At 43.2% G+C, this 20474-nt stretch overlaps 1 protein-coding gene and 2 pseudogenes across 2 annotated transcripts in view, besides 3 other annotated features; 2 read left to right on the top strand and 1 right to left on the bottom strand.

The window, feature by feature from the left end:
* Positions 1-20474, top strand: part of CHD8 (chromodomain helicase DNA binding protein 8) — a 70925-nt gene that overhangs the window by 17552 nt on the left and 32899 nt on the right. The window contains exons 1-5 of one of the 2 annotated variants that reach the window (NM_020920.4): positions 1297-1378; positions 6714-6761; positions 9237-9608; positions 10318-10703; positions 12330-12444. In NM_020920.4, coding sequence (NP_065971.2) covers positions 6756-6761; positions 9237-9608; positions 10318-10703; positions 12330-12444 — 879 coding nt within the window. In that variant the 5' untranslated portion in view covers positions 1297-1378; positions 6714-6755. Of the gene's footprint in view, positions 1-1296; positions 1379-6713; positions 7772-9236; positions 9609-10317; positions 10704-12329; positions 12445-20474 lie in introns of those variants that run through there. The other variant, NM_001170629.2, reaches the window with a different exon arrangement.
* Positions 710-889: an enhancer, noted in NCBI's record as "active region_8103". NCBI's record gives its function as "activates an Ori minimal core promoter by ATAC-STARR-seq in GM12878 lymphoblastoid cells {active_cell/tissue: GM12878}" and the evidence as "EXISTENCE:reporter gene assay evidence [ECO:0000049][PMID:35858748]".
* Positions 867-1410: an enhancer, noted in NCBI's record as "H3K27ac hESC enhancer chr14:21905321-21905864 (GRCh37/hg19 assembly coordinates)". NCBI's record gives its function as "activates a minimal SCP1, AML or CMV promoter by ChIP-STARR-seq in primed H9 embryonic stem cells {active_cell/tissue: H9 hESC(primed)}" and the evidence as "EXISTENCE:reporter gene assay evidence [ECO:0000049][PMID:30033119]".
* Positions 920-1079: an enhancer, noted in NCBI's record as "active region_8102". NCBI's record gives its function as "activates an Ori minimal core promoter by ATAC-STARR-seq in GM12878 lymphoblastoid cells {active_cell/tissue: GM12878}" and the evidence as "EXISTENCE:reporter gene assay evidence [ECO:0000049][PMID:35858748]".
* On the top strand, positions 8766-9064 carry RN7SL650P (RNA, 7SL, cytoplasmic 650, pseudogene; annotated as a pseudogene).
* On the bottom strand, positions 18165-18972 carry EIF4EBP1P1 (eukaryotic translation initiation factor 4E binding protein 1 pseudogene 1; annotated as a pseudogene).

Raw genomic sequence — 20474 nt, 5'->3', positions numbered from 1 at the left:
TGAGCCACTGCGCCCGGCATCTTTCTTTTTTCTTTCTTTCTTTTTTTTTTTTTTTTTTTAAGAGACTAGGTGTTACTATGTAATGCCCAAGCTGGTCTTGAACTCCTGGATACAAGCGATCTGCCCACCTCGGCCTCTCTAAGTGCTGGGATTGCAGGCATGAGCCACCACTGCACCCGGACTAAACTGCTCTTTTTAATAACAGTGTCCTGGCTGGGCGTGATGGCTCACGCCTGTAATCCCAGCACTTTGGGAGGCTGGGGTGGGTGGGTCACTTGAGGTCAGGAGTTCGAGACCAGCCTAGCCAACATAGTGAAACCCTGTCTCTACTAAAAATACAAAAATTAGCTAGGTGTGGTGGCAGGCGCCTGTAATCCCAGCTATTCGGGAGGCTGAGGCAAGAGAATCGCTTGAACACGCGAGGCGGAGGTTGCAGTGAGCCAAGATTGCGCCACTACACTCCAGCCTGGGCGACAGAGTCAGACTCTGTCTCAAAAAAGGAAAAAACAAGTTTACTTTGGTGGATTTAAGCTTGCACACCATCATTCTGGGGTTGTCTAGTCTCACTGGGAATTAGAGTGATTTCAAGTGACATCGCAAAGTGGACACTGATTAAAAGGTCAAATGGGCTGAGTTTCAAGAGATGGGAGAACAGGAAACCGAGTTTAGAGGGTGAGGAGTGTTTGTTTTGAGCGGGCTAAGGGTCGGGAATTGTTAGAGGGCCCCAGGAATTACTGTCTAAAAAGCCGTATTGGTATTGAAGGGTCACAGTGTCAAAAATGCACGGCAACCTTATGTGTTGTGGCAGAAAGAGTGCTTTAAAAGGCCCCATATTCCAGCTGGGCTGACTCCCACGATGGAGGGAAGAAGATTTGGCCCCTTTTATTAGGTAGTGGGATACGGTGTAGTCACTACAGGAGAGGGGTTGACAGGGCTGCTAGAAGGCCGGGGATTCAGAGGGAGGCGGAGCTGGCCTAGCGCGGAACCCTCCCTCCCAAGTTTATACTCTTCAGGGTGAAGAATTCAGAGTAGATGGTAGGGAATTTAATCTCCAGGACTGGTTTCGCGTACTATGAGACTGTTCCTCTGGCCAGCCCCCTTTTTTCAAGCAAGCTGCAGGCTTCGCCTCGGCCCTAGAAACCGGATAGGCCTCTCCGTGCGCTCTCAACCTAACCTGCGGGGGAGGGGGAAGGGAGCTCCTTATAGTCCCACCCTTTGCGCTGTTTTGCGTCTTTTCGCCTTTGGTGAGTGGCAGTGCGCTTCAGCCAATGATGGCGCGGGGCGGGCAGGAGCATCAGGTTAGGTTGCGCAGGAGGAGGGGGAACTGGTGCTGGAGAGACAGGGAGAGGGGCGAACCGGCCCCCCACAGCCACTGCAGGTAAAGCCACCTCTCTCCTCCACTGGGGTGAGGCACAGCTCGTTTTCTCCTTCAGGGCTTGTCGGGCCTCTCGGCCTGCAGCTTCCGCCCTAACATTGCTCCTATCCCGGGCATCCACACCCCCCACCCCCCGCATCTTCCCGTCTTGGCCATCCCCACCCTGGAGGGCACCCCCGCTAGCTCCTTACCTCAAGTGCATGTACCTCATTTCCATTTTGGGGTCTCCAGTTACCAGAAATCTTCCGCCTCTGCTGTATGGACCTTACTGGCACCAACCCCGGCAGTATGAGCAGGTAATGTACCCGGGTCCCCCCCACCCCCACCCCAGTCGCGTTTTCCTCTCCATCAACCCCTCACTTCCTCACCTCGCCCTTTCCCTTTTTTCATGAGTGCAGAATCTCTCTAGTTTCTTCTTTACCCCCTGAAAATACATGTCTTTAGCTGTCGTAGTTGCCTATTTTGCTTTTCCGATTTATTCACAAGGTCTTACTTTACCAGCCTTATATTCCCCCAAATGACCATACCCTTGATTGAGGTGTGAGTGCTTTCTCTTTCAGTAATTGGAAAACAGAAACAGAGTAGCCACACATTTGGCAGTGAGAATGGTGAAGACAGAGAAAATGGCCTAGGATCTTGATCTACTTAGGAAATCTGAGTGGCTCCAATTTGGTCCTATGTCTTTCCATCCTGATCCTTTGCTGACCCTAAATTGTGATTGCATTCACTTTGGATGTTTATTTTTCATTTCTGTATAAGATTTGAGACCCTTCGTGTCTCACGAATGTCTTCATGGTACAGTTTTAAAATACTTCTCTTTTAAAATTATGTTGGTGATTTTCATTTTAGCCCTTTGGATTATTTTATTTTCAAGGTATTTCTCATTTAAATTAAGCTGCTTCTACCCATCTTATGTTTCAGTAACATGTATTTATGTCTATCTGCAACTGATCTTCTTGAAAGGATACAGTTTCCAACAACAAGATTTGTTCTTTGAAGTAAATAAAATAGTTTATTCTTTTCTGAACCTTTGAGCAGCTAGAGGTTAAGTGGTCATGAGTGGTACTTTCTAAAAGTGCACATTACAGAAAGAGGTCAGCATGGCTCAATACTGCATTCGTTCATTGTCTTCTAAGAGGTTGTCACTACGGAGAAATCTATAAGTGGGCAATAGATATCTGTAGCTCATTTTACATAATTTTATCTATTAGACGACAGAACTAATCTCTTGCAGTGTTTCTCATCCATCATAAACAGTAAATGATGATAAACTCCTTTTGAGAGGCTATAGGAAATCTTATCCCATCCCAAAGATACTGGTAACTCTGCCAAGCCAGGAATGTTTCTTTCTCTGCCCTCTACTCCTCACGTGTCTTTTACAGATCTTCACTGGCCAAGAAGGCTTTGTCCAGTGTTAATAAATATAAATAGCCTAAACAATGAGATGTAGTTTTTTCACTTGATAAATATAAAATTATAATATTGAATACACCTTTAAGAACTGCACATTTATCTCCACCCTCGGTTCCCAGAAGCCCTTCTTAAGGGCCTTAGTCTCCATCCCCTGGTTGAGAATCACTGCTTTGTTGAAAGGTATGGAGAGATTGAGATGGAAAAATATAGGGTAGAATTAAAACAAAATACTTTATCATAGGACAGACAGTTTATTATAGAAATGGGCAAGGGTGAGGAATAATGTCAAATAAGAATGAGAGAGTTGGGACTCTAGATTTCCAAAAAAATCAAGAACTGTATTAAAGGTGGTAAAGCTGCAGAAGAACATCAGTTTGTACTTGTCTCAAGGGGAAGCAGTAGTTTCACCTTTAAGAAGGAGATGAAGTGAAGGGCTATACTGGCATATATAATAAAGTATTTTTCTACAGGTAACTGTATTGTTACTTGGCGATTATAGATAGATGGGCTTGGATTTTAACCTTAACTGACTAGTTTGTTACTTTTCCCTTCCACTGCCATCCCTCACCCCCTACATGCCCTCCAAGATTTCTGTCATGATTCTGGTCATTAGTTTGTAATTATGGAAAGTGACTAAGTACAACCACTAAGTTTTGTCTTTCCTTTTGAGCACATACATGTGTTTCTCTTTTGGGGACTGGTGGGCCAACACTGGCTTTTCATTCTTAATATGATAAAAGTTGGTGTGACTTCTTTATCTAGGCAGTTACTTTGCATTGAAACCAACTTAACATCTGTTCATTTTTGCTATTAGGGTTTGAATCAAGGAAAGAGAATTCATGAGATGGTTGAGAGGATTCATGAGATAGATGAGCTTGGTAGAATAAATAGGCCGTATGTGGATATAGCCAGGGTGACCCACAAGTAGTAGTAGAAGGAGGGTTAAAAAAAGTTAGATGTATGTTGGGAGAAGGTTTAATCTTGTAAGAGTCAAGGACAGTTTAAAGATAGGAACTAGAAAAGAAGTAGGAAACTAGCATAAAAATATGAGATGAATTGGGTCAGTATAGGTGAGAATGATGGGACTGAGAAGTAATGATACTTGGTGGCAAGGTTTTTGAATTATTAGGCATAGACCGAACTAGAAGAAGCAGAAATTTGGTTCGAAAATTGGGAAGGGAGAGATAAATGACAATGCATTGATCTTTAAAAAGCTTATACTAAGTCATATGGGGGTAAGGAGATTCATCAGAAACCATCAGCCTTGTTTCTCCTATTTAAAAAAAAAAAAATCTGGGCCTAAGATTGGATCATTATGGGGGAAAGGAAGAGCATTAGAATTAACAAATAGCAAGGAATCATGGAAGCGACAAAATACTCCATGGAATAAGGAGCAGGCTATAAACTATTTGCAACGTAAACTTCTGGTTAGTAGAAACTTTCAGCGTGGTGGCTCATGCCTATAATCCCAGCACTTTGGGAGGCTGAGGCGACGGCTCACCTCTGAAGTCGAGAGTCCGAGACCAGTCTGACTAACGTGGCGAAAACCTGTCTCTACTAAAAATACAAAATTAGCCGAGTGTGGTGGCGCAGGCCTGTAATCCCAGCTATTCGGGAGGCTGAGGCAGGAGAATCGCTTGAACCCAGGAGGTAGAGGTTGCGGTGAGCCGAGATCGCGCCATTGCACTCCAGCCTGGGCGACAAGAGTGAAACTCTGTCTCAGAAAAAAAAAAAAAAAAAAAAAGAAACTTTCACTGTTGTTTTTATATTACTCCTAGCTGTAGATACTTTAACTTCTGACGGTGAGTAGAGAATGAAAAATAATTGGTGCCAAAGTAGGTATACTGGAAAAAAGCTGATGATAATGGGAAGGAAATTTATTAATATCAAGTTATTGAGTAGGTTTTCGTTAAATCAGGAAGCATTCATAACTTTCCTGATTGCCATTTTGAGTAATTTGGAGGCAAATATTAGATATGAGAGGCTGGAATGAGCTGGTGGAATAGGCTAGCCAGGAATGGGAGATGGTATGGATCTTGGGTTGAGATATGAAAAGTATGCAATTACTGAAGCAAGGACGATCTTGTTTAACATTGTTGGAGATACCATGTATACTTTGTAATTTTGACTCACGTGTTTGTTCTCTTTGTCTGTTTTGGAGTATCTGATATATTAACCCATATTATATTGTTTTATAAGGATAAGTGAGATGGGTTGGGAAGGAAAAAACATAGCATGGGGGTTATATGGAAAAGTCTCCTTCAGTCAGGACTGTGCCTCTGACAAATTTCTTATCTGGTGTCTTCCAAAAGTTAGGAGAAATGGTCTTACCAAGCAAGACTTTCCTGTATTGTCAAATACTGTCATCATATACAAAGAACAGATATTTCTTTTTCATATATTTGGGTTTTATGGTGATATACTTCCCTGTCTTTGATAGCTTTTCTTTTTTCCACTAGTTTCATGAACTTAAAACCCTAGACATGGATTTTGTGAACCTACTTTCAGCCATTCATAAGACATGTTTTCAAGATAGGAAGCTTTTTACCATCTCATGTTAGAATCAAAGGATACCATTTAGTTTCTGTGAGGATCGAATGGTTTACTCCAGATAATGCGAGCAAGTATAATTCATTAACTGTTTTTTGATTAGCTACTATATGTGCTATGTCCTGCTGGTTCTTAGGGGATCCACAGATAAATAAAACATAGTCCCCACCATCCAAGAACTTTCTCCCAGAGAAAGAGGAGCTGGGCCATGGTACAGAGTTGTGGAGGGTGTACATTGCATACATTCATAACAAATTTTTATATATTTAGTATGGCAGTTTTCCAGGCATCTTGAGAAGTGGGCAACTTTTTACAATTTGCGCAAAGGAACCATTTGGGCCTTCAGAGGATATATTACAGACTTAGGTCATTATAATAAAATATTAAATATAAGTGTTTTAAGGTATAAACAATGGTGTGGGTATTTAAAGGAGGTGGAGGGATCAAGTCATCACAAGTTGCTCAGTTGTTAAAGCGTCAGAGGTTCAGGGCTCACTTAATGGAGTAGAAGACCTTTGAGGGTTGGTAGGATTTTAGCTGCGAGAGATTATTGGCATTGGGATGGAGAGGACGTGTTCCAGGCAGAAAGCACAGCATCATAAGCAAAGTCACACAGGTAGGAATCACATTAAGGGAATTGTGTAGTCTAGTTGGACTGGAATGTAAAATATATGTAAGAGATGGTAAGAGGAAGTTGGGAATATAAATTGGAAACAATGTTGAATCCCTTGCAATTGACCTTTTTTATCTTAAATATGAGAAAGTTTTCTTGAGAGGGGACTTCAGAACAAAAATCCCATTATAGATTAATATGTTAACTAGAATAAAGGTTGCAAAACTTCCTGGGTAAAATTGTATGATCACTTTGGTGAGATTGTACTATAAGCCTTGGTTAAAGGTGGTTATTTTTGCCAATAGTAAGTAAAAATATATAAAACACAAGAAAAATTTATACAATAGAATATATCCAGAAACCTTTATCTATAGAGTCACTGTAATTCTGGTGGCATATTTTTGAGTTCTACTAACTTAAAAACTGAAAATAGAAGGTAAATGAATATTAAATTTTATCTTTACCAAAGAATAATAATTGTTAAAAGAAACGGAGAAAGACAGCCAAATGCTCTTGACAGAGTCTTTAAAGTTTGTAGGTGTAAGTGCCCAAGAGGAGGTTGTTATTGTTTTTCTCTTTTAGTTTTAGTTTTGAAGCAGAAATATGAGTGTCTTTCTGCTGTATGTCCGTCCTCAGATTTCCTCACATTTCCCTCTTATATTCATGCTATTTGATATTAAGAACAGTACGTAAGAAGGGAAAATTTTCTCTGAGATCGCCAACTTTGCCTATTTTTCATTTGTATTTGTATTCCTACAACAGGAGTTCCACCATCTTCCTCTGAAGACGTAGCCATCTTGCTCCATGAAGGTCAGGACAATCTGACATGCACTTGTTTCTTGCCTCTATACTTGAAGAGTAGTCCTCTTACATTGTGTACATTTTTTTCTTAATAGGGGAGGGGAGGGGAGAGCCAGTACCCCCCCTCCCCTTCCCTCCCTAGACCTTGGAGAAGTACCCTCCATTACTTTCCCAAGATGGCAGACCCCATCATGGATCTGTTCGATGACCCAAATTTATTTGGCCTGGACTCTCTGACTGATGACAGCTTTAACCAGGTCACACAAGACCCCATTGAGGAAGCCCTTGGACTGCCAAGCTCTCTGGACTCCTTGGATCAGATGAACCAGGATGGTGGAGGTGGTGATGTGGGGAATTCATCAGCAAGTGAACTGGTCCCTCCACCAGAGGAAACAGCTCCCACAGAACTTTCCAAAGAATCCACAGCTCCAGCTCCAGAATCCATAACCTTGCATGATTATACCACTCAGCCTGCCAGCCAGGAGCAGCCAGCCCAACCTGTCTTACAGACATCGACGCCAACATCAGGACTTTTGCAAGTCTCCAAGAGCCAGGAGATCCTGAGCCAAGGGAATCCTTTCATGGGTGTCTCTGCCACAGCTGTCTCCTCCAGTAGTGCTGGAGGGCAGCCACCTCAGTCAGCCCCTAAGATTGTTATCCTTAAGGCCCCACCAAGCTCCTCAGTCACTGGTGCCCATGTGGCACAAATTCAGGCCCAAGGTATCACCAGCACAGCTCAGCCCCTGGTGGCAGGCACAGCCAATGGTGGAAAAGTCACTTTTACCAAAGTGCTAACCGGCACACCCCTTCGACCAGGTGTTTCCATTGTCTCTGGTAATACAGTGTTGGCCGCCAAGGTCCCTGGGAACCAGGCTGCTGTTCAGCGCATTGTCCAGCCCAGCCGACCAGTAAAGCAGCTGGTCCTCCAGCCAGTTAAGGGTTCAGCTCCTGCTGGAAACCCTGGGGCCACAGGGCCCCCACTGAAGCCTGCAGTTACACTGACCTCTACACCTACCCAGGTGACTTGAGTGAAAGGGGGAGGTGAATTTTGGTTTCATAGAGGGCCCAGCAACTCTTTGAGAGAGTGAGCACATGAGAGCTTTCTCTGGGAAAGCCTATTTAAATTCCATCTTTGGTTTTTATCAGTTAGTGTGACAGCCACATACTTAGTACTTGCTGGTTGGAAGCAGTTAATGTTAACATATTTTTTGAGCTCTTACTACACATTTACATTGTACCTAGCTGGTGCTAAATAAGGCAAACACAGTCCCTGTCCTTACAGAGCTCACCGTCTGCCAGGAAAGACAGATATTAAGCAAGAGTTCACAATAATTGTGTGATACAAAGTTTTATGAGAAGTATGGGATGCTATGGGAACAAAGAAACATCTTTGAAGAATTATCTTTATATTTGCAAGACTTGTAAAAGCTATTTATATCTTTCTTTTATTCTTATTACTAAGATTGTCCCCCTCCTACTTTGCTCAGTGAAAGTGTTAGTTTCTAGCGTAAGAAGGTAGAGGCTCTAGCATCTGAATAAAGGGCCAAAAGAGTTGGTGGGGGTGGGGGCGCAGCATTGAGATAATTAGGACTAGCCAGGCACAATGTCTCTCACCTGTGATCCCAGCTACTCAGGAGGCTGAGGCAGGAGGATTGCTTGAGGCCAGAAGTTCAAGACCAGCCTGGGCAACATAGTGAGACCCTTGTCTCTAAAAAAAGTAGGACTAGTGGGAAGAAGCTACAAGGAGGCAGATTTCAATTCAATATAAGGAATTTTGTATTATTAGGTTTCCAAAAATGAACTGCTGCATTAGAAGATAGCCTTCCATCAGGAGTTTTTAAAACATAGCTTGATACCTACTGAGCAGAAGCATTATAGAAAAGATTCTATCAGGACAGCTGATAGTCCCAGCACTTTGGGAGGCTGAGGCCAGAGGATCGCTTGAGGCCAGGAGTTCGAGACCAGCCTGGGAAACATAGACCTCATCTCTACAAAAAAGCAAAATAAAAATTAGCTGGGCATGGTGGCATGCACCTATAGTACCAGCTACTCAGGAGGCTGAAGCGGGAGGATCACTTGAGCCTAGGAGTTCTGGGCTGTGGTGTGCTATGCCAATCAGGTGTCTGCACTAAGTTTGACATCAATATGGTGACCTCCCAGGAGCAAGGGACCACCAGGTTGCCTAAGGAGGGATGAATTGGCCCAGGTTGGAAACGGAGCAGGGCAGCACTCCCTTGCTGATCAGCAGTAGTGTTGTGCCTGTGAATAGCCACTGCACTCTAGCCTGGGCAATACAGCGAGACCCTGTCTAAAAATAACAAAAAAGATTGCATCAAGACAGATAGGATGATGAACAAAGTGAGTTGTACTGTGTCTTCTGACCTGTAGTTTTTATGATTCTAGCATGAAGAAAACTGGTGTAAATATTTCAGAGTATACCATTCTTTAATGTTGTACTCTTGCAATTTCCTTTCTTCACTTTAGGGTGAATCGAAACGCATCACCCTGGTCCTCCAGCAGCCACAGTCTGGAGGTCCCCAAGGACATCGGCATGTTGTGCTAGGGAGTCTACCAGGCAAGATAGTGTTACAGGGCAACCAGCTGGCAGCCCTGACTCAAGCCAAGAATGCCCAAGGGCAGCCTGCCAAGGTAGTAACTATCCAGCTGCAGGTGCAGCAGCCACAGCAAAAAATCCAGATTGTACCACAACCACCATCATCGCAGCCACAGCCCCAGCAGCCACCCTCCACCCAGCCAGTGACTCTGTCCTCTGTACAGCAGGCTCAGATAATGGGACCAGGACAAAGCCCAGGACAAAGACTTTCAGTACCAGTCAAGGTGGTACTGCAGCCACAGGTGAGAGACTTACATAGTAAGGAAAAGAAAGAAAACAAAAATACTTAGTCCATTGCTGTTGCCCTCAGCAACCACTTATTCTTGAATGTGGGGCCATTCTAGATTTATATCTCTGAACTGAGGTGCAGACTTAATTCTTTCATTCATGGAAACCTTATTTTAATTATATTATTAAAAGATTAGAGAGGGATTGTTGGGTTTGGGATATGAGATTATTTAGTATTTATCTTTGAATTGTTTTATTTATAATCTTTTCCTAATATTATTGTGAAATAAAAATGATTTGTGATATCCTTTAAATGATAGTTCAGAAATGACTTGAAGAAATAAGTGATCAGTCCTCCCCTCTCCCCGCCCAGGCAGATAAAAGGTAGGCCAAGAGTAGAATTTGAATTTTTTTACCGTTAGGCCAGAGACCAATATTGGGTATATTAGTTGTAATTTTTCTGAGGTAATGGAGATGTATATTAATGGAAGCATAGCAAAAAGATACTAAAGTTTATTTTGGCAGAATTCTTGGTTTTTCTCACCCCTTTCCCACCAAAAGAATACATTTTAAAAAGTAGGTGTAGGTTCAATAAGATTTAGTCTGAGCTTGATTCTTGAGGGATTAAAGAACTAGTTTCTAGCCCCCCTGCTTCAGAGCTGGATTTTATTTAGGCCATTTAACTACAAGCAAGTTGAAATTGTAGTATCTTTGTTTCTATAGGCTGGCTCTTCCCAAGGGGCCTCTTCTGGGCTCTCTGTAGTTAAAGTTCTGAGTGCCAGTGAAGTGGCAGCTTTGTCATCACCAGCAAGCTCTGCTCCTCATTCGGGGGGAAAGACAGGAATGGAGGAAAACCGCAGATTGGAACACCAGAAGAAGCAAGAGAAAGCAAATCGGATTGTAGCAGAGGCCATTGCGAGAGCCCGTGCCCGCGGTGAGCAGAACATACCTCGAGTCTTAAATGAGGACGAGTTGCCCAGCGTTCGGCCAGAGGAGGAAGGCGAGAAGAAACGCAGGAAGAAGAGTGCTGGGGAGAGGCTGAAAGAGGAGAAGCCAAAGAAGAGTAAAACATCTGGTGCCTCCAAAACAAAGGGCAAGAGCAAGCTCAAGTGAGTACTCCTTGCTACTGTGATGGGACGTGCAAGAGTAAGCTCAAGTGAGTACTCCTTGCTATTGGGATGGTACATTTGAGGGCAGAGCAAACATCTGGTACCTCCAAAACAAAGGGCAAGAGCAAGCTCAAGTGAGTGCTCCTTACTACTGTGATGGGACGTGCAAGAGTAAGCTCAAGTGAGTACTCCTTGCTATTGGGATGGGACATTTGAGGGCAGAGCAAACATCTGGTACCTCCAAAACAAAGGGCAAGAGCAAGCTCAAGTGAGTGCTCCTTGCTACTGTGATGGGACGTGCAAGAGTAAGCTCAAGTGAGTGCTCCTTGCTATTGTGATGGGACGTGCAAGAGTAAGCTCGAGTGCTCCTTGCTATTGTGATGGGACGTGCAAGAGTAAGCTCAAGTGAGTGCTCCTTGCTATTGTGATGGGACGTGCAAGAGCAAGCTCAAGTGAGTGCTCCTTGCTATTGTGATGGGACGTGCAAGAGTAAGCTCAAGTGAGTGCTCCTTGCTACTGGGATGGGACGGGCAAGAGCAAGCTCAAGTGAGTGCTCCTTGCTATTGGGATGGGACGGGCAAGAGCAAGCTCAAGATTGAGTACTCCTTGCTATTGTGATGGGACATTTGAGGGCAGAGCACTCATTTCTAAGAAGCATTGAGGAACTTATGTGTATTTACCAGCTACATAGTTCAAGGTGATCTATTATAGAAAATAATAAGGCCTTTCTTTTTTCTGTCCTAATGCTTATAGGATTTGTTAAATGGAAAACTGAAATTAGCATATTTTAAGAGGAAAACACGAAGGCACAGGAAAGATAGTTACTGTGCTGGGAGTTACCTTTAAAAGCTGTGACTCTGCATTCATATATTTGTCCTGATTTTGTATTACTGTAGTGTGAAAGAGATTTCTCACTACCTCCTACCACCCACATCAGTAAAAAGAGAACTACTGGAGACATAGCTGTCCTGTTCTTGCATCTCTTCTGTGAATTGGAGATTTCAGCATCTACCATTAGCTTTAAGCAGTGTTGACAGAAAAGTGATGGCTTGCCACATAATTCTTGTCATAATTGAGTGTCCTCTCTTTCCCTTCCATGTCCTGTATCTTCTCCTTTCTTACTAGCTTTTACTCCCTGGGATTCTTAAGGCTTTGTGGTGTAATTATAATAATGCTTTGTATTTGTACCGGATTTTTCAGCTTTTAAAAGACAGTTTTATGTTTCTTATTTGAGCCTCAGTAACTGTCAGGACAGGTATTATCTCTCTAATGTTTACAAATAATGAAACTAATGCTCTTGTAGTGACAGAAGTGGAACTGCAATAAGTGTTCTAATTCTTAATCTGGTATTTATTCTCCTATCTTGTGCTACCTTCCTTCAGGTATTTGTGAACACAGTAATAACAAGGATTTGTCAAATATGGTATAAGGGTCAGTCAGTGGTTTACAAACCCTAATATCTTCTTTTTTTCAAACACCATATTTAGTAGCTGTGTGTCCTATTGACTGAAGATCTAAAAACTTCTGTCTGGAAGTTTTGTATGTGATGGTTTAGATTAATTATGTTTTTTTACTCCTAAATTTTCTTTGCTTTCACTGAAAATGAATTTGGTTTTTCCTTTTTAGCACCATCACTCCTGTAGTGGGTAAGAAGAGAAAACGTAATACCTCATCTGATAATTCAGATGTGGAAGTCATGCCTGCACAGTCACCTCGAGAAGATGAAGAAAGCAGCATTCAGGTAAAAGGATCCCAAAAGAATTTAGTAGAAAAAACCATGTTTAATTATGGCTAACCAAGCCAAGCAGATATTGAGAAATCGTAAGTCTATACACATTTCTTTGGCTTTTCTAAACTGGGCGTAGGCCTAAATAAGGTGGATGGACCTGGCCAGTGTCTTTTTTCTGTTGTTGTTGTTGTTTTCTTCTTCTTGAGACAGAGTCTTGCTCTCTCACCCAGGCCTGAAGTGCAGTGGCATGATCTCAGCTTACTGCACCCTCTGCCTCCCGGTTTCAAACGATTATCCTGCCTTAGCCTCCCGAGTAACTGGGATTATAGGCATGCACCACCACGCCCAGCTAATTTTTGTATTATTTTAGTAAAGACCAGGTTTCACCACGTTAGCCAAGCTGGTCTTGAACTCCTGACCTCAAGTGATCTGCCTGCCTTGGCCTCCCACTGGTCAGTGTCTTTAAATTTTTTTTTTTAGGCAAAGAGCATATTACTATAAAAATAGTGATACTTGGCCAGGCGTGGTGGCTCACACCTGTAATCCCAGCACTTTGGGAGGCTGAGGTGGGTGGATCACCTGAGGTCAGGAGTTGGAGACCAGTCCGGTCAACGTGGTGAAACCCCATCTCTACTAAAAATACAAAAATTAGCCAGGTGTGGTAGCAGGCACCCGTAATCCCAGCTACTTGGGAGGCTAAGGCAGGAGAATCACTTGAACCCTGGAGGTGGAGGTTGCAGTGAGCCGAGATTGTACCATTGCACTCCAGCCTGGGCAACAGAGCGAGTCTCTGTCTCAAAAAAAAAAAAAAAAAAATAGCAATACTCGTTTCCTCAAATTCCAGTGTTTCAAATACAAAGCAAATCATATGAAATCATGCTGCTTGATTGCCCTTCTGGTTGGGCCAGAACTTGACTCTCTCTTAGAACTCTCCAAGAATCCCTTTTGCCTTACCTTTTCTACACTTCAGGATTCTGACTCTGTGAACTAGGGTAGTTAGGCACAAAGTTTCTTGCTACGTTTTGAAGATGAGGGACGTTGGAAGAGACCAAAAGAAGCCAGACCAGAAGCGTAGGCTTCCATCTCTGATTTGTTGCCTTATGGTACCATCTTTGGCTCTAGTTTCCAACCATAGAAAAAATCTGATTAAGGAGACCCATAGTGCTTCTAAGTAGCTCTGTGGCCTGGCCAACTTAACTTACTTGAGTCTCAGTTTCTCATCTGTAAATGGAGATTTGGACTAAATGAACCTTAAGTGTTTCTCTATTAATATTTATAAGTGCCTCCCCTCTTTCATAATATACATTCGGTACATTGACAAACTGATACTTGGGTTTTTCTAGGGGAAATTACTGTGTAAGAATAGCTGGGCCAGGCGCGGTAGCTCCCGCCTGTAATCCCAGCACTTTGGGAGGCCGAGGCGGGCATATCACGAGGTCAGGAGATTGAGACCATCCTGGCTAACACGGTGAAACCCCGTCTCTACCAAAAATACAAAAAAATTAGCCGGGCGTGGTGGTGGGCGCCTGTAGTCCCAGCTACTTGGGAGGCTGAGGCAGGAGAATGGCATGAACCCTAGAAGCAGAGCTTGCAGTGAGCCAAGATTGCGCCACTGCACTCCAGCCTGGGTGACAGAGTGAAACTCCACCTCAAAAAAACAAAACAAAACAAAAGAATAGTCGAGAAAGTTTTAAAAAGGAAAATGAGGCCAAAAAAAAATTTTAGAATATATTATGAAATAATGATTACTAAGACTTTGAAATTGGAGAAGAAAAAACAGATTAATAAAACACAGTAGAGCTTAGAAATCAACTCAAATACTTGTGGAAATTTACTATATATGATTAAAACACCATTTAAAATCAACAGGGAAAAAGATTATTCAATAAATTGGGACAGCTGGCTAACCATTTAGGAAAAGCTGGATTTTTTTGCCATCTTAAAAATAAATCCCAACCGAATTGAAGGTGTAAATATAAAAGATGAAATTTATGAACTGTCTATAAGACATGAATACATTTTAAAGTAACTGTCCGGTGGAGTAATCTTTGTAAAGACGGTATTAAAATTCAGAAGTCATGAAGGAAAATATTGGTACACTTGATAATATAAAAATTATGTATGGTATTACAACAAAAAAATTCCATGAACAGCATAGTGGTTGAGAGCACAGACTCTGGAGCCAGATTTCTTGGGTTCTTTTCTTGACTCTACCATTTAATAGCTTTGTCACTCTGAGCGAGTTTCTTAGCCTCTTGGTACCTTAATTTCCTCACCTTTGAAATGTGGGTAATAGTACTTACCAAATAGGGTTGCTTCAAGGATTAAATGTACACATTTATAAAGCACATATAACAGTGTTTGGCTCATAGTAAGAACACATATTAAGACTTACATACATATGCTGTGGATGAATGTGTCCCCCAAGTTCATGGGTTAGCCAGGCATGGTGGCTCATACCTGTAATCACTGCACTTTGGGAGGCTGAGGCAGGAGGATCTCTTGAGCCCAGGAAGTTGAGGCTGCAGTGAGCTGTGATCATGCTACTGCACTCCAGCCTGGGCAACAGAATGAGAGACTGTTACTGCACCCCCTGACTCCCCCCGCCAAAAAAAAAAGTTCATGGATAGGAAGCTAAATCCCCCATGCAACTGTGTTGAGAGGGGGGACCCTTAAGAGGTGATTAGGTCATGAAGGCGTTACCCTCATGAATGGATTAATGTCATTGAGAGAGTAGGTTTGTTATAAAATCAAGTTGGGACCTCTCTTGCTTTCTCTCACTTGTGCTCTCACCTGTCACCTTCCTGCTATGGGATGATGTGGCAAGAAGGTCCTCGCCAAATATGGGCACCTTGATATTGGACTTACCAGCCTTTAGAACTGTGAGAAATAAATTTATTTTTCTTTCTTTTTTTTATTTTTTGAGATAGAGTCTGCTCTGTTGCCCAAGCTGGAGTGCAATGGCGCAATCTTGGCTCACTGCAACCTCTGCCTCTCGGTTCAAGTGATTCTCCTGCCTCAGCCTCCCAAGTAGCTGTGATTACAGGTGGCGCCACCACGCCCAGCTAATTTTTATATTTTTAGTAGACAGGGTTTCGCCATGTTGGCCTGGCTGATCTCAAACTCCTGACCTCAGGTGATCTGCCTGCCTCGGCCTCCCAAAATGCTGGCATTAGAGGCGTGAGCCACGTGCCTGGCCTTCTTTTTTTCTGAGACAGAGTCTTGCTCTGTTTCCCAGGCTGGGGTGCGGTGGCACGATCTTGGCTAACTGCAACCTCTGCCTCCCAGGTTCGAGCAATTTTCCTACCTCAGCCTCCTGAGTAGCTGGGATTATAGGTGTGCGCCACCATGCCCAGCTAATTTTTGTATGTTTTAATAGAGACAGGGTTTCGCCGTGTTGGTCAGGCTGGCGTTCAACTCCTGACCTCAAGCGATCCACCCGCCTCAGCCTCCCAAAGTTCTGGGATTACAGGCAGGAGCCACTGCACTTGGCTACATTTCTTTTTTTATTAAAATAAATTACCCAGTCCCGGGTATTCTGTTATAGCAACACAAAATGAACGTGATTTGTTAAAACAACTTGTTTTTTAAGTAAAGGTTAAATAAGGCTTAGAGGGTTGTGCAAATAAAGTAATAAAGTATTTGTTAAACAAAAAAAATGAAGGAAATTTTTAATAATACAAAATACACAGAGATTACTAAAATTTAGAAAGTGGTCTGTTAGTTTGCTAGGACCACCATAACAAAATACCACAGACTAGGTGGCTTAAACTATGGACATTTCTTGTCTTTTCCTTTTTTCTTTTTTTTGAGACAGGGTCTCCAGGCTGGAGTGCAGTAGCACAATCTCGGCTCACTATAACCTCCACCTCCCGGGTTCAAGTGATTCTCCTGCCTCAGCCTCCCGAGTAGCTGGGATCATAGGTGTGTGCCACCATGCCCAGCTAATTTTTGTATTTTTAGTAGAGATGGAGTTTCACCATGTTGGCCAGGCTGGTCTCAATCTTTTGACCTCAGGTGATTCACCTGCCTTGTCCTCCCAATGTGCTGGAATTACAGGTGTGAGTAACTGCACTTGGCCTGGACATTTATTTCCTTATAGTTCTGGAGGCTAGAAATCCAAGATCAAATGGTCTGCAAGTTTGTTTTCTCCTGAAGGTTTTCTTGGCTTGCAGAAGGCCACCTTCTCATTGTGTCTTCACGTGGTCTTTCCTCTATTGGTACACATCCCTGGTGTCTTTTTGTGTGTCCAAATTTCTTCCTTCTGTAAGAACATTAGTCAGATTGGATTAGGGCTCACACTGGTGGCTTTATTTTAACTTAATGACCGTTGGAAGCCCTATTCCCAATTTCCTAATACACTCACATTCTGAGGTACTGGGGGTTAGGGGCTTCAACATATGGATTTGGTGGGGGGATGCAATTCAGTCTATGACAAGTGAGAATGACAATATTGGCAATGAAGTTAAGGAACAGACACTTAGACACAGTTGATGGGAATGTTAATTGGGACAATCTTTTTGGCAAGTCGGTGTTTCAATATATAGAAAAATTTAGAATGTTAATTTCATTTCACTCAATGATTCTGCACCTAGGAAATTACCTTATGAATATGTTCTCAAAAGAATGCAGTGATATATGTATTGTAGCAATATTGCAATAGCAAAAATGTCTAAAAATTAGATGTCCATTGGTGGAGAAATAGTTAAGTAAAATTGGCAATATTCATGCAGTAGAATACTAGATGGCAGTAGAATACTAGATGGCAGTTAAAAACAATGAAGTAGGTTGGAATGTGCTAATAAGGAAGACTTATTAATGAAAAAAGGTGTATGTAGTATCTCTTTAATGTTTAAAGTATGTATGTGTGTCTGTGTGTGTATATATATGTATATGCATCCATTTTTTTCTGGAAGGATATACAAGAAATGGATAAGAATATGTATCTTTGAAGAGAAGGGTTGAATGGTAAGTGGGTCATGATTATTGTGCTTTAATTTTTTGTCCTTTGGCCCTGTGTGAAATTTTTTAACTGGACCATTTGCCATTTGATTTTTCAGTTTAAAAATACATATATGAGGCCAGGTGCGGTGGCTCATGCCGGTAATCCCAGCACTTGGGAGGCCGAGGCAGGTGGATCACCTGAGGTCGGGAGTTCGAGTCCAGCCTGACCAACGTGGAGAAACCCTATCTCTACTAAAAATACAAAATTAGCTGGGCATGGTGGTGCACGCTTGTAATCCCAGCTACTCTGGAGGCTGAGGCAGGAGGATCACTTGAACCTGGGAGGCAGAGGTTGCAGTAAGCTGAGATCATGCCATTGCACTCCAGCCTGGGCAACAAGAGCGAAACTCCGTTTCAAAAAAAAAAAAAATGTGTATGAGAAAAATTACAACAGGTAGCCTCTGTTACCAATTTCTTGTATACCCTTCTAGAAATATTTCTTACTTTCATGAACACTCTACTTCTACTTCCACTAAATATTAATATTCCATACCTACTCTTCTCTACTGTGTGTTTTCCCTAATGATACGTCTTGGAGGTTGTTCTTTAGTGGAAAAGATAGATATACCCATTCTCCTCCTCTACTTTCTTTTTTATTAGGAAAATTTTCAGACATACACAAAAGTAGATTTTTAATGAAGTCCCATGTTCCCATTCTCCCACTTTAATATTTATCAACAGATGGCTCACTTCCCACTGTCCTTACTTCCACTCTAGTCCTGCCCGCCTTTGGCCCTGTGGTGAAAGTGGCTTTTATTTCCTCTCTTGTGGAAGGAGGGGGAGGGGAGCTTTCCCAGGCACATCAACCTAAAGAAGGGGTGGCTGCGCCCACAGAGCACAGGGCTAGAAGAGCCGATCATTGGATTATTTGGAAGGAAGGGCTCATTCTTGTCCACTTCCTGGCACTCTGCTGAAGGGTGTGCTGGCAGGGGTCACACCCTTTGGGGCAGCAGCTACCACATCAGCAGAGGCACTAGGGCACTAGGAGATAATCTGCTAGTTTTCACAAAGAGGAGAGGGCAGGTGCCCTGAGTGAAGGAGAGAAAGCTGGGGTGGCCGACCCCATGTCCCACACCTGCCCAGTGTGATAACTTTCATAAGGCCTAGCTGGTGTGATTCCTCCCAGAAAGGCCTGGAGGAGCCCATAGGCAATGCGCAATCTGATGGCTGGTCCTTTAAATGTCCATCTCAAATTGTGATTCCTCACGGCCCGACTACTTACCTTCTGGGCCATTGCACAGGTGGCCCTGGCTGGCTTCTTTTGGGGGCTCATCACTGGCAGGGCTGGTGACCCCAGGAATGGTGGGCAGATCCCTCGGGGATGTTTTGGTCATGGGTGAGTTCCGACACTCCAGGAATTTCTAGTCGTAGATGATCCTGGTACCTCCCAGGGTGGTGCTGAAGACTGTGCCCCTGGGGGGTTGTCCTGTAGCTGCATGCCTTTGCCCAGCACCACCCAGTGAGTGGCAGGGATGGCCCAGCTCAGGGTCTGGCTGCAGTTGCTGTCCCTAGACATGGTCTCCAGTGTACGGCACCCAGGATTATTTTTTTTGTTTTCTTTTATTTTTATATTTTGGAGACAGAGTCTCACTGTCTTGCCCAGGCTGGAGTGCAGTGGCACGATATCAGCTCACTGCAACCTCTGCCTCCCGGGTTCAAGCAATTCTTCTGCCTCAGCCTCCGGAGTAGCTGAGACTGCAGGCACATGCTGCCACACCCAGGTGATTTTTTATATTTTTAGTAGAGACGGGGTTTCACCATGTTGCTCAGGCTGGTCTTGAACTCCTGAGCTCAGGCAGTCTGCCCGCCTCGGCCTCCCGAAGCGCTAGGATTACAGACATGAGCCACCGCTCCCGGCCCACCCTGGATTATTTTAAACCAAATCTAAGTACTTGTTTAAAGTGTTTCCTAAATTTTTTTTTTAAAAAGGTCATTTTAAGAATACTATATGATGGATGTGATAAAAATCAAGTCATCCAGAAATATATTAAGTAAAAAGTAGAAAGTATCTTCTAGAAATTGTTATTCTCTAGAAATAATTTAGTTTATATATCCTCCCAGACTTTTTAAAATGACGTAGAATATACATATCATAAAATATGCACAAATTTTGTTTGTATAGTTTTGACAAATGTATCGAAGTTACTTCACCAAGTGAAGAAAATGTTTCCATCACCCCAGTAAGTTCCCCTGTACTCCCTTGTAGTCAGTCCAGTTCCTCACTCCAGGGCATAGGCAGCTAACTGCTGTTCTGCTCTCTCTTACCTTAGATTAACTTAGCCTATTTTTGAACTTTATTTATTTATTTATTTTTTGAGACGGAGTCTCCCTGTGTCGCCCAGGCTGGACTGGAGTGCAGTGGCGCGATCTCCGCTCCCTGCAAGCTCCGCCTCCTGGGTTCATGCCATTCTCTTGCCTCAGCCTTCTGAGTAGCTGGTACTGCAGGCGCCTGCCACCACGCCCAGCTAATTTTTTTATATTTTTAGTGGAGACGGGGTTTCACCGTGTTAGCCAGGATGGTCTCGATCTCCTGACCTCATGATATGCCCACCTTGGCCTCCCAAAGTGCTGGGATTACAGGCGTGGGCCACCGCGCCTGGCTATTTTATTTATTTTTTGAGACAGGGTCTCACTCTCACCCAGGCTAGAGTGCAGTGGCGTGATCTTGGCTCACTGCAACCTCCGCCTCCTGCATTCAAGTGATCCTCATGCCTCAGCCTCCCTAGTAGCTAGGATTACAGGTGCACGCCACCATGCCCATCTCATTTTTTTGTATTTTTAGTAGAGACAGTGTTTCACCATGTTGGACAGGCTGGTCTTGAACTCCTGACCTCAAATGATCTGCCCGCCTTGGCCTTCCAAAGTGCTGGGATTACAGGCGTGATCCACCGTGCCCGGCTTTGAACTTTAAGTAGTATCATACAGTATGTACTTTTGGGTCTCACTTCTTTCAGCATAATTTTTTGTTGTTCTTTTTCTTCTGCCCACACATCAATGAGAAAGGCATAATGTTTTTGATAGTTCATCTATGCTAAATA

The sequence above is a fragment of the Homo sapiens genome, chromosome 14 (assembly GCF_000001405.40).
Source record: "Homo sapiens chromosome 14, GRCh38.p14 Primary Assembly".
In the NCBI taxonomy this organism is placed as follows: domain Eukaryota; kingdom Metazoa; phylum Chordata; class Mammalia; order Primates; family Hominidae; genus Homo; species Homo sapiens.
This window is presented reverse-complemented; position numbering and strand designations above follow the sequence as displayed.